Source organism: Homo sapiens, chromosome 16 (assembly GCF_000001405.40).
Source record: "Homo sapiens chromosome 16, GRCh38.p14 Primary Assembly".
Taxonomy (NCBI): Eukaryota; Metazoa; Chordata; class Mammalia; order Primates; family Hominidae; genus Homo; species Homo sapiens.
The window spans coordinates 50468622-50481088 of NC_000016.10; the positions used below are offsets into that span (position 1 = coordinate 50468622).

Genomic DNA, 12467 nt, shown 5'->3' on the forward strand with positions numbered 1-12467 from the left:
TGCCTTTGGGCTCTCCAATCCGAGGGCACAGCAGTTAGTTTAGTATAAACGTAGTGGCTGGCATGTCTTGAGCCCCTGCCGCATGCCGGATGTGATGGATCTGGTCACACCACCCTGCGAGGTGGGCACACCCGTTGCTGTCCTCACTTCAGAGAGGTCAAGAAACATGCCCAAGGCCACACAGCTAATAAATGCCAGAGCCACAGTTTTAAATAGGGCCTGCCGGCTCCCTAGTCCTCTCTCTGCGCATCTGATTCTGCTACGCTTCTTCCACGGAGCCCTCCTTAGGGCCCCAGCTCAGGGCTGTTTCCATCAGCAGAAGAACCAAGAGAACTCTGGTCTGCACCCTCACCAGGTCTGCACCCTCCCCACGTCTCATCCTGCTACTCAGGCGCCTGCAGCACCCCCATCACCCAGGATCTCATTACTGCACTAACCAATGTGTCCATGAAGCAAAAATGCAGAATCTCAGGCCCCACCCCAGGGCTGCGGAACGAAAATCTGCTCTTGTAATGATCCCTGGTGATTCAGTTGCAAAGTTAAAGTCTGAGGAGCACAGGGCTGTCAGGACACTTTGGCTGAAATCCCTTCATTGCCCCTGTGTGGCAACCTGTCTTTGGGACGCTGTGCCTCCTTCATCAGACTGGGAACTCCCCAAGGCAAGAGCTGAGCCTTCTCCATCAGATCAGGAGGGCTTCTAAGGCTGTGGCTGCACTTGCCCCAGCAGGCTGGGATCTCCCTAAGGACAGGGTTTGAACCTCCTTCTCCACACTTGGCCTGTAGCAAAAGCAGAGATGGTTCTAGGGCCTGGACCAGGGGCTTACCTAAAGCCCATGGTGCCTCCTCCGTCTGAATGGGAGCCTCCACAGCCAGTAATGAGTATCCTTCCTCAAACCTGGGATCTCCTATGAAGTCTGGCTGCCTTTGGGGTAGGAAGCCACCTGCAAGGAGAGGTGGCTAGTGTCTTTGCTCTCCTGTGTGTGGATGGAGCAGCACAGTGGGGAGTGTGCACCCAGCACACACCACCCTGGCACCTTCTTGACCCCCTTCTTGACCCCCTTCTTGGCCCCAGGTGTGCCTGTTAGAGGGACCTGGAGGGGTGAGGGTGAGGGAGAGGGCAGATGCCACAAGCTGGACCATGTGTGCCACCTGACACCAGGCCTCTCTGGGCACACATTTGTCCTTGTGCGTCACTGAGGGACCATTCAGGCAGCAGAAAGCCCGCGGGCGGGTGCAAGAGTGAGCCTGCTGGCAGCGGGAGAGTATTTTTAGAGCTTTGACTGACACTGACGGCCCTTTATTAAGCTGTCGCTGCCTCCACCCTGGCCCCAGCCCCTTCTGGCCCGGACAAAAAAGAAAGCTCATTGTCATTTTGTTAAGAACAGGGTCCTGGCAGCCCTTTTGCGGTCCCTTGCTGACTGGATAGGTTATTTCTTGCCGTGTCTGGGGTCCAGGCGCCCCTGCTGGCACTCCCAGCGTGCCCCGCAGCCTGACCCTTCACACATCTGGCAGTGATAAATGGCTTCAGCGTTGCTGCCATCACCTTGCACACTCTGATCCCGCTCACTTTGTTCTCCCTTTAAAGCCAGTGGGCGGATGGGGGAGGGGGCCTCTCTCTCTTCTTCCCTTTCTCCATCAGCCGTCTCCTGGATACTTGCAGGCCTGTGCTCTGATACCACTTGAAAGGGACCGAGACACTCAGTTATCTGGTCTGGGAAGTCCAGCCTGAGAGTTGTCTGTGCTGACTGGTAGAGTTTGGGAGGGTGGGAGTACACGCCTATGTGTGGATGTATGTGCACGTGCATGAGTACTGTGTGCATGTGTGACTGTGCTCGTGTGTGTGTGTGTGTGTGTGTGTGTATTTGGGGATGTATCAATATGTGTTCCTTTTAACTACTATAGCTTTATAATTTATTTTGATCCCTAGTAGAGCAAGACTGACCCGTTTGTACCCACTACACAAACATCTTCAGTTCTTTTAAAAAATGTGTTTGTAGTTTTGGGGATATGCCCAACAAAATTTGTGCACAAAGTCTCGTAGTTGTCTCTTGGTCTACATTTGTGTCTTTTGGTGCACAAATGAAAAGACACAAATGTAGACCAAAAGACAACTACCAGAATTCTATCTGTAACTTCTCCAAGCTGGAAGCTACCCAAATACCTGTGAGCAGTAGAATGGATAAATATATGGGGAGATAGTTGTATATTGGGATATTACACAGAAATCAGAATAGACGATTGACAACTCAGGCAACAATATGGATGGATTGCACAATCATGATGTTGGGTGAAAGAAACCAGATGCAAAAGAGTACATATTGTATGATTCCATATATAGAAAGTTTAAAAATAGGCAAAACTAGTCAATTAAGATAGAGGCTAGGGGAGTGTTTATCTTTAAACGGGGGAGTGACTGCAGGGAAGTTACAAGGGGGGCTTCCGGGGCAGTATTCTATTTATTGATCTGGATATGTATTACCTGGGCATGTTCCCTTTGTAATGATTTATTGAGCTGCACATTTATGATTGTGCACTTTCTGTGTGTATGTTATACTTCATCAAAAGTTTAAAAACTTGTATTTTTTGTATGATAGTCCTTGTATGATAGAATTTTTAGAATCAGCTTATTGAATTCAATGAAAAATTCTGTTGGGGTCTTGACTGAAATTGTGTCATATTATAGATTAGTTTGGAAAGATTTGCCTGCTTTATGATGGTGATCCTTTTTCTCCATGGACATGGTATACCTCCACTTATTCACCACAACTTTTACATCTCAGTCAAGTTTTAGGATTTTCTCCAAGGTCCTGTGACTTTCTGGTTGAGTTTATTCCAAGGTAGCTTGTGGATTTTTTTTTTTCTTGTAAAGGGGATTTTTTTTTTCTTTTATGTTTTCAAATTGTGTGTGTTTTTTTAAATGGTGATAAAACATAAATAACATAAAATTTACCGTTTTAACCATTTTTGATATACAGTTCAGTGGCATTAAGTACATTCACATTGCTTTGCAACCATCACCACCATACATCTTCAGAACATTTCATCTCCCCCAACTGAAGCTCTATACTCATTAAATAATAAATCCCAATTCCCACGTCTTCTCAACCTCTGGAAACCACCATGCTATGTACTTTATGTCTCTATGAATGTACTTAGTTTATGTATTACATGTAAGTGAAATAATGTACTCACATGTAAGTGAAATATATAATATTTGCCCCTTTCTGACTGGCTTATTTCACCTTGCATAATGTCCTCAAGGTTCATCTATGCTGTAGCATGAGTGTGAGAATTTCATTCCTTCTTAAGGCTGAATAATTCTATTATATGTATATACCACAGTCTATTCATTCATCCGTCAAGGGACATTTGAGGTGTTTCCACCTTTTGACTATTGTGAATAATGTTGGTATGAAAAAAGTGTTGTGATATTTTGCAATACATATATGGTCTTTGCTCCCATTTCCTGGTATACAGCTCCTAAAATCCTTGGAATCTCCAAAGTGATATCTTTTTGTATGCTAATAATTGACTGGAAGCTTCAGGATTGGGGCTGGTCACCAGAAAGACCAAGGCAAGATTAGAGGGTTGGGACTTTCAGCCCTGCCCACCAATCTCTGGGGAGGAGAGTGGGGCTGAAGGTCAAGTTGATCACCAATGACCAATGGTTTAATCAATCATGCCTATGTAAGAAAGCCTCCATAAAAACCCAATAGGACAGGGTTTGGCTTCCTGAAAGCTGATCATGGGGTGGCTGACAGGAAGGTGAACATGAACTCATCCACGTGTCAGGAGAGTGATGCACCCCAACCCTACGGGGACAGAAGTTCCTGCTCTCAGGACTCTTCCAGACCTCACCCTGTGTATCTCTTCATCTGGCTGATTATGTGTATCCTTAAAATATCCTATAATGAGCTGGTGAATGTAAAAGTGTTTCCCTGAGTTCTGTAAGCTGCTCTAGCAAATTAATGGAACCCAAGGGGGGGTGTCATAGGAACCCCAACCTGAAGCCAGTTAGTTAGAAGTTCCAGAGGCCTGAACTTGTGACTGATGTCTGAAGCAGGGGGCAGTCTTGGGGACTGAGCGCTCAACCTGTGGGATCTGATGCAACTGGAAGACAATCAGCTGGTGTCTGCTGCAGAATTGGTTGCTTGCTTGCTGGTGGGGTGAAATCCCCACATATTTTGGGGTCTCAGAAGTCTTCCATGTTGATGATTATTGTTGTGTTAGTGTGAGAACAGGGGAAAAACAGTTTGTTTTTTTTTCCCCAAAGAGATGTACATTTATCTGTTTGAATTTCTGCTTTCAAATCTTTTGGGCATACCAAAAGGGCGAATTGCTGGTCATATGGCAATTCTATGTTAAATTTTTTGAGAAACTGCCATACTGTTTTCCACACTGGCTGTGCCATTTTACTTCATTAGTTTTCTGCTGTTGTGTATAAAAGCTATTGGGTTTTTAAAAATTGGCCTTGTGTTTGTGTGCACACTCCTGAGTGTGCATATGCACAAGTGTGCATACGTGTATGGAGTAGCCACACTCACAAGAGCGTGGATCACTTGGACTGCTTCTGACTGTACATCACAGAAACCCCATCTCAAGCTGGCTTAGATGGTGAAGAGCTTTATCATCTCATCCACCCTTAACATCAGAGGTGGCTGCGTGTGACAAGAGGGGACACAGGCTTCCTTGACCACGTCCAGCAGAACAGAGCGAGCTCATCTCCACACATGGATGGTAGCTCTCTGCCTTTCCAAGCAAATCGCTCCATTGGCCCAAAGGCAGGGTTCTGAAAGAAGTTTCAGATGTAGGCCATTGGAAACAAAGCATGCAGAATGGAGGACAGCTGCTTGGAAAGGTGCAAAGCATCAAGGGGATTGTCTCTGCAGTGGTGTTGATTCACTCAGCAGCTGCACTTTGTCATGACTCAGAATCCTACTTCCTGTTCATGTGCCTGCTCACCCTAGCTACCTTCTCTCCCACAAGGTAGCAGTCACAGCTCCCGGGTCACTTCCAAAATATGACACTATCTGACCCATAGTGGAAGGCTGCCACTTCCACTACATCTCATTTTATCCATGAGGAAACTTCACAAAAGCCCCGCCTGCTTTCCCTCATTGGCCAAATAGCATCCAGGCGGATCCTGAACCCCGGGGGAGTGAGCTTACTATGGCTGGGTGGATTAATCTAATGGGAGGTGGGGAGAGGAATGCCACCCTGGGTTTGCAGTGGCATGGAGGAGGTGGATGCCAGTGGAGACAGAGGTTAGGAGGAGGGCGGAAACTCTGAGCCTTTCCTTCCAGTCTCTCTGTCCTGATCTCCAAGGCTCACAATTGCTCTTTGGGGAACAGAGTGTGTGGGGGTATGCACACTTGTGCACGTGGAATTGTGTAGTCAGGGAAGACCTCCTGCAGGAAGGAGGGAGAGAAGGAGCATGTTCTCAACTGGGGGGAAATGTGGGCAAAAGGGAGGAGCCAGAATGAGCAGCCAGAGTGCCACATCTGCAGAGAAAATGTTGCTTGCACCAGATGTGTCTTTCATCTGTACATTTCTTGAACAGAGAAGTAGACCTTCAAATATGACTCAAGTCTGAATCCAGTGATTCTCTTTCATTCACTCAACAAATGAAATGTCTTTTGAGCACCTACTCTAAGCAGGACCCCATGCCAAGCACAGATGATTCAGCAACAGATAAGACAAATGCCAGGCCCTCGTGCACTCCCATTCAAGAGGGCAGGGCCACCTCACTCTATCCTCTGTGTGGTGGCTGTGTGCCCAGCTCAGATGGTTCTGTGTCTCCACCCAAATCTCACCTTGAATTGTAATAATACCCATATGTCATCGGAGGGAACCTGGTGGGAGGTAATTGAATCATGGGGGAGGGTTTTTCCCATGCTGCTCTCATGGTAGTGACAAGTCTCTTTTTTTTTTTTTTTTTTGGAGACAGTCTCACTCTGTCACCCAGGCTGGAGTGCAGTGGCGCAATGTTGGCTCACTGCAAGCTCCGCCTCCTGGGTTCACACCATTCTCCTGCCTCAGCCTCCCGAGTAGCTGGGACTACAGGCACCCACTACCACGCCCGGCTAATTTTTTGTATTTTTTTTTAGTAGAGACGGGATGGTCTCGATCTCATGACCTCGTGATCCTCCCACCTCGGCCTCCCAAAGTGCTGGGATTACAGGTGTGAGCCACTGTGCCTGGCCAATAGTGAACAAGTCTCATGATATCTGATGGTTTTATAAATGGGAGTTCCCCTGCACATGCTCTTTTGCCTGCTGCCATGTAAGATGTCCCTTTGCTCTTCTTTCATCTTCCACCATGATTGTGAGGTGTCTCCAGTCATGTGGAACTGAGTCCATTAAACTTCTTTCCTTTATAAATTACCAAGTCTCCAGTATGTCTTTATTAGCAGTGTGAGAACAGACTAATACAGATGGGCAGAGCCATGTCTGCCTTCCATGCCACTGTGGCCCTTGAGGGCAGAGACCCTTGGCATGAAGTGCTCGTAGCTGCTGGCTCAGAGGAGTCCCCCTGCCTGCCAGGGATGTCTGCCCATGGCTACACCTCCTCTCTGGGGCCATCCACATTCAAGGAGTTGTTGAGGTGCAGTACAAAGATCTGGACCCTCTCAATTTGGGACAACTCCAAAGGGCCTGTGGGATTCCAAAACTCCCTGTGGGGTTAGCAGAGGCCTCTGCTCTAATGACACCTCTGCCCAACTTCTCCCCCTGCTCAACCTCGACCCCCTCACCCCCAGGTGTGGGTCCTGAGAGTGCTCCCTGACAGTCCTCCTGGGCGCACATCTCCATTTCATTGCCTGGATCCCAGAGACCCAGTCTAAGAGAGATCGGTTGTACTACATATAAATGAAAGAACAATTTTAGAATTTTCAAATTTCTCCTTTTGCACATGCACATGTGTCCTTTTGCACACACACTCACAGATACACATTTATATATACTTGGGGGGGTTAAACTCTTGCAGAGAGAGGAAGAGGTATTTTTAATTCAGGCGACAAGGGATCAAATTAGGGATATTCAGCTATTTTCTTTCTTTCTTTCTTTCTTTCTTTCTTTCTTTCTTTCTTTCTTTCTTTCTTTCTTTCTTTCTTTCTTTCTTTCTTTCTTTCTTTCTTTCTTTCTTTCTTTCTTTCTTTCTTTCTTTCTTTCTTTCTTTCTTTCTTTCTTTCTTTCTTTCTTTCTTTCTTTCTTTCTTTCTTTCTTTCTTTCTTTCTTTCTTTCTTTCTTTCTTTCTTTCTTTTTTGACAGAGTCTCGCTGTGTCTCCCAGGCTGGAGTGCAGTGGCGTGATCTTGTCTCACGGCAACCTCTGCCTCCCGGGTTCAAGCAATTCTCCTGCCTCAGTCTCCCAAGTAGTGGGGATTACAGGTGCCTGCTACCACGCCCGGCTAAGTTTTTGTATTTAGTAGAGACAGGGTTTTGCCATGTTGGCCAGGCTGATCTTGAACTGCTGACCTCAGGTGATCCACCCACCTCGGCCTCCCAAACTGCTGGAATTATAGGTGTGCACCACTGTGCCTGGCCTCAGCTACTTTTTTTCTTCCCCAGTGTTACACAGATAAATGCACATATCCCACTTAAAAATGCTGCCGTTTTATAACAGATGGCATTTGTTGAGCATGTGCTAGGTGCCAGGCACTCTGCTGGGCACTTCACATGCCCATCTTATTTTCACTATAACCATATGAGGTAGGCACTGTCATGGGCATTTTAAGATAAGGGGAGTGAGGCTCAGAGAGGTTAAGTAACTTGCCTGAGATCACATACAGAGGATGTCAGTTGAGGATTGATTGGAGAAGCGCAGCCCATACCACAGATACAGCGAAACAGATTTATTATGGAGGTTAGACCTTACATAATTGTGCAGGTGGTTGCCTCTGCATCAGGTAGAGCCTGGAGTCATGCTACGTCAGCCTCCTGAGGAAGGAAGGCTGTAAATGGACGAGGGCAGGGCGGATTGGAAGCAGCGTCTGCCTGTCTTCACTTTCTCCAGCTTCGATGCCCTGGGTGAGCTGGAGGAAAAGCTGGTGCGCTTCCCTATGGAGCTGCACACACACTGGCCGGGACTGGGAGATGCTGAGGGAGACTTAGGAAAAGGTGGAGAAGCCAGGTGCTGTCCCTGCCAATCAGGCGAGCCAGCAGGTCAGGGATAGCAATGTGTGAGCTGCCCCAGGGCCTGGGACCCCATGCTGACTTTGAGCGTAAAAACTATATATATATATATATACATATATATATATATATACATGTATATATATATATATATATGTATATATATATGGCTGCTGCTTCACTTCCGCCTTTCAGCTTTCACCAAATGTCTGTTTCAGCCAACATGAACTTAGAACCATATGGAAATTCTTGGACAACGTGGTTCCAGCTCAGCTACGTTGATGCAGTGCCAAGGCATCGCAGACACAGGGAAGAGCCCAAATCTGGGCTTGTCTGCCTTGTGCCAAAGCCCATGGAGCCTGATTTTCACTTTGTCCAGCAAGAAGTGGGTGGGTAAGGAAGGGGCTGATGGGGACATGGGGCTGTACACATGAATGTGACTTCGGGACTGGCTGGGTAATATAAAGAGGGTGAAGTGACCTGGGTTAAGGGTATGGAGTGGTGGGGACAGTGACAAACTGAAGAACACATGCCCCGTCTAAAGAGGGTGGCCACTGGATTGTTGCTATTCAAAAACGTGGGCACAGTGTGGTTGGATCAGCTGATTTTTTTTTTCACTATAAACTGGAGATATGAAGTTTGGTGTGTATGGGTGCATAAAATCTGCCCATTTGAATATGTTGGCAACCAATTTGAATTTTCTAGATATCACTGTGCAAGCCAAACAAAATATGACTGTGGATTGAATTTGCCCCTGGGCTCCCAGTTTGTGACCCTTGACCTTGGAGACTTCTCTCCTGGCAGACCCTCCTCAGCATGTTTCCCTAACCTCTGAAATGCTGCTGACCGAAGGCCCCTCCATTCTCCCAGAAGATGTGGTGGCAGCCCCCAGCCTCTGGCTCCAGCCCCCATGCCAGGATGGTCACAGGAACCTTCTTTTCCCCTTGTTTCTGGCCAAATCTCAATGGGGGAGATGTCCAGACCAGACGCAGTCTACAGAAAGGCATTACTGGATTTGAGGCAAGGACAGGGTCTTCTGCCTCCCCTGTTGGTGCTTGCAGTCCCCTGTCCTCTGCATCTGTCAGGGATGTGAATGCTTTTTTTCTCCCACAATAAAGAAGATAGGTTTCGTTCTTCAACATGAAAACATTTTCATGTTTACATCTGTACAGTCATAAATGCAAACATGTGCTCATGTAAACTATTTTTGTTGATGTACTTTCTCTACCTTATTGCTTGGCCCTTCTCTACTGTTTTTTCTCCCTCTCCCTCTGAACCCGCCCTAGCGAGCTAGTAGCATTGTTATGAGATCTCTGAGGTGCCGATTTTTCCGGCTGGAAACCTCTGTGGCCACAGCGCCTTTGTTCAAGTTCTTGTCCTGCATCCAGGAAGAATGAGGTACGCAGAAAAGTGAAGGGTGAAGAAGAGGACTTTTATTTAGTTTAGAACAGCTCAGAAGAGTGGGCAGCTCCTCTCTGTAGGCAGGTGGTCCAGCCGAGCGTTCAGCTCTTAACAGAGAGGAGGCCCTGAAGAGGGTGGCTCCTCTCCACAGGCAAGTCATTTGGACGTCTCTGCCGGTCTCTGATGTGCTCAGCGGAGAGGGTACTCCTCTCTGCAGCTGGTCGTCCAGTCCTGTCCTCTCTCTGCCCTCTTAGTCCTCTGGCCATCCTCTGCCTTGCTCTGGCTGAGCACAGGTCTTTTATAGACCTCAGAGGGGAAGAAATGCATACTGATTGGTTCATGGGCAGAGACAGGGTGGGGAAGGAGCGGGGGCCGGGTGGAAGAGGCACCGTGAGTCCCCACTCCAGTCTGCGGGATTGGCAGCCCGGCTCCTAGCCTTCATGCCCTACCTGGCCTGAAGGTGGGGCCTTACTGAAGACCCCCCCGCTTCCGCCCAGGACCCTGCCTCCGCTTCCATTCAAGGCCCAGGGGCTTGGCCCCAAACCCCCAACGAGATCGGAGCTGGCGCCAGGAGAGGAAAGAGGTCAGGCTGCAGGAAGAGACACCCCCGAGCCAGCAGGGACGGTGTGTGTAGGGGGGCCTTCCAGGTCCCCCAAGGGTGCAGGCTGCAGAGACACCCAGGTCCTGCACCTGGGAGGGCAGCTGAAGCCGCACCTGGGGAGGCGGATCCTGCTGCTCCTGGCCCTCCTCCAAGAGCACAGGGAGGCTCGGAACCACAGCTGCAGTTTGGGCAGCTGTAGCCCCGCCCAGGAGGGTGGGGCTCCTGCCTGCTCCCAGGAGGCCTGGGTCTGCAGCTGCAGTTTGGGTGGCTGCAGCGCACCCAGGGAGCTCCCTTCCCAACTCAGAAGGGGCGGGGCTCCCACTGGCACCATGGAGTGTGCAGCCCCAGCCAGGCAGCCGTCGTGATGGCAGCAGCCACTGCCATCAGCATCTTCCCATGTTCTTATCCCTTCTTATGTAATCGTATATACACATACATATATACTTTCATATTTTTTCTTCTTTTAGAGAGCGGGTCTTGCTCTGTTGCCCAGGCTGGAGTGCAGTGGAGCAATCGTAGCTCACTGCACCCTTGAACTCCTGGGCTCTAGTGATCCTCCTGCCTCAGCCTTCTGAGTAACTGGGACTACCGGTGCACGCCACTATGCCAGGCTAATTTTTAAATTTTTGTAGAGTCGGGGTCTCATTATGTTGGCCAGGCTGGTCTCGACCTCCTAGCCTCAAGCCATCCTCTCACCTCAGCCTCCCAAAGTGCTGGAATCTCAGATGGGAGCCCCCATGCCCAGAAAGTCTTTCTGATCATTGTTTAGAATGCCCGGATGAAACATTATATACGATCTTCTGCATTGTGCTTTTCTTCTCCTACATTTGGCAACCCCGTGGTCCAGGTCTAATTCATTCTTCGTGCTGTCTGTGTAATATTCTTGAGTGTGCTGTGCCATCATTCATTTAGTCATTTCTTACTGAAGGACACTTAGCCTGCACATTAATTAACATGAACCAAGGCTATGCTGTGGCCACCAGGAAACTCTGAAATTGTAGCATCTTAACAAAACAAGGGTGTTGATTTCTTGCTCCTATTGTAATGCAGTATATTTGGGCAGCCCTTGGGTGGTCTCCTCAGAGCTTTCATCTCAGGGATCGAGCTCCTTCCATCTCCATCTTGGGGTCTCGGCAGTTGCCACAGAAGGGGAAGAGAGAGAAGGAGCATGAGGCCGTGGGCTTCATGGCCACACGTCACTTCTTCGCCCCAGTCCCTAGCCAGAACCCAGTCACATGGTTTCAGCCAAACTGCCAGGGAGGCTGGGAAATAAGGTGTTCCCTGTGTGGCCCATCTCTGCCATACTTTGTTTCAAGGTTGCTTTTCTTGTCATTATGAAAATTGATTCAATAAACACCTTTCTTTACTTGTCCTCAGGACATGGTGGTTTCATTTCTATCATATTTCCAGGGTTAGAACTGTTGGGTTAAAGGGAATATTTTAAATGCAAAATTTGTATTTTAAAAGTGAAATTTTTCATGTAACTCCTCAAGCTTTAATTGAAGTTGCCAGATTCCTTCTCAAAAAGTCTGTAACAATTTGCATTTTCAGCAACAACGCATGAGGGTAGCTTTTTCCTAAATCTCTGCCAGCCCTTGTGTTATTGTTCTTTTCAAGTTTCCTCTGTGATATCTCATTGTCAGTTTCATTTGCATTTCTCTGACCACTAATGAGTGTGAGCATCTTTTCATTTGTCCGTGGTCATTTGGCTTCATTCTTTGGTGAATTGCCTATTCATGTCCTTTGCCACAATTTCTTTTGGGTTGCTTGCCCTTTTCTTTTCAATTTGTAAGAGCTCTTTGTATATTATAGATGGTAACCTTTCGTCCACTGCATCACAAATATTTTTCCCCAAATGTATTGTTTGTCTATCACCTTTGCTTATAGTATGTTTGTCTTTCAGAAGATGAACACGTTTGTGAAGCCAAACGTGTCTTTTTTATTTATTTCTTATTTATTTCTTTTCTTTTCTTTTCTTTTCTTTTTTTTTTTTTTTTTTGAGATGGAATCTCTCTCTGTCACCAGGCTGGAGTGCAGTGGCGTGGCGTGATCTTGGCTCACTGCAGCCTCTACCTCCTGGGTTCAAGCGATTCTCCTGCCTTAGCCTCCCAAGTAGCTGGGATTACAGGCACCTGCCACCACGCCCAGCTAATTTTTGTATTTTTTAGTAGAGATGGGGTTTCACCATGTTGGCCAGGCTTGTCTCAAACTCCTGACCTTGGGTGATTCGCCCATGTTGGCCTCCCCAAGTGCTGGGATTACAGGTGTGAGCCACCATGCCTGCCCTATCTCTTTTATTTTTATATGCTGGATTTTCACCCCTGGAGGGTCTCTC

At 47.8% G+C, this 12467-nt stretch overlaps 2 annotated features.

Annotated features, from left to right (window-relative positions):
* Nucleotides 4745-4814: an enhancer, noted in NCBI's record as "active region_10818". NCBI's record gives its function as "activates an Ori minimal core promoter by ATAC-STARR-seq in GM12878 lymphoblastoid cells {active_cell/tissue: GM12878}" and the evidence as "EXISTENCE:reporter gene assay evidence [ECO:0000049][PMID:35858748]".
* Nucleotides 10273-10875: an enhancer, noted in NCBI's record as "H3K27ac-H3K4me1 hESC enhancer chr16:50512805-50513407 (GRCh37/hg19 assembly coordinates)". NCBI's record gives its function as "activates a minimal SCP1, AML or CMV promoter by ChIP-STARR-seq in primed H9 embryonic stem cells {active_cell/tissue: H9 hESC(primed)}" and the evidence as "EXISTENCE:reporter gene assay evidence [ECO:0000049][PMID:30033119]".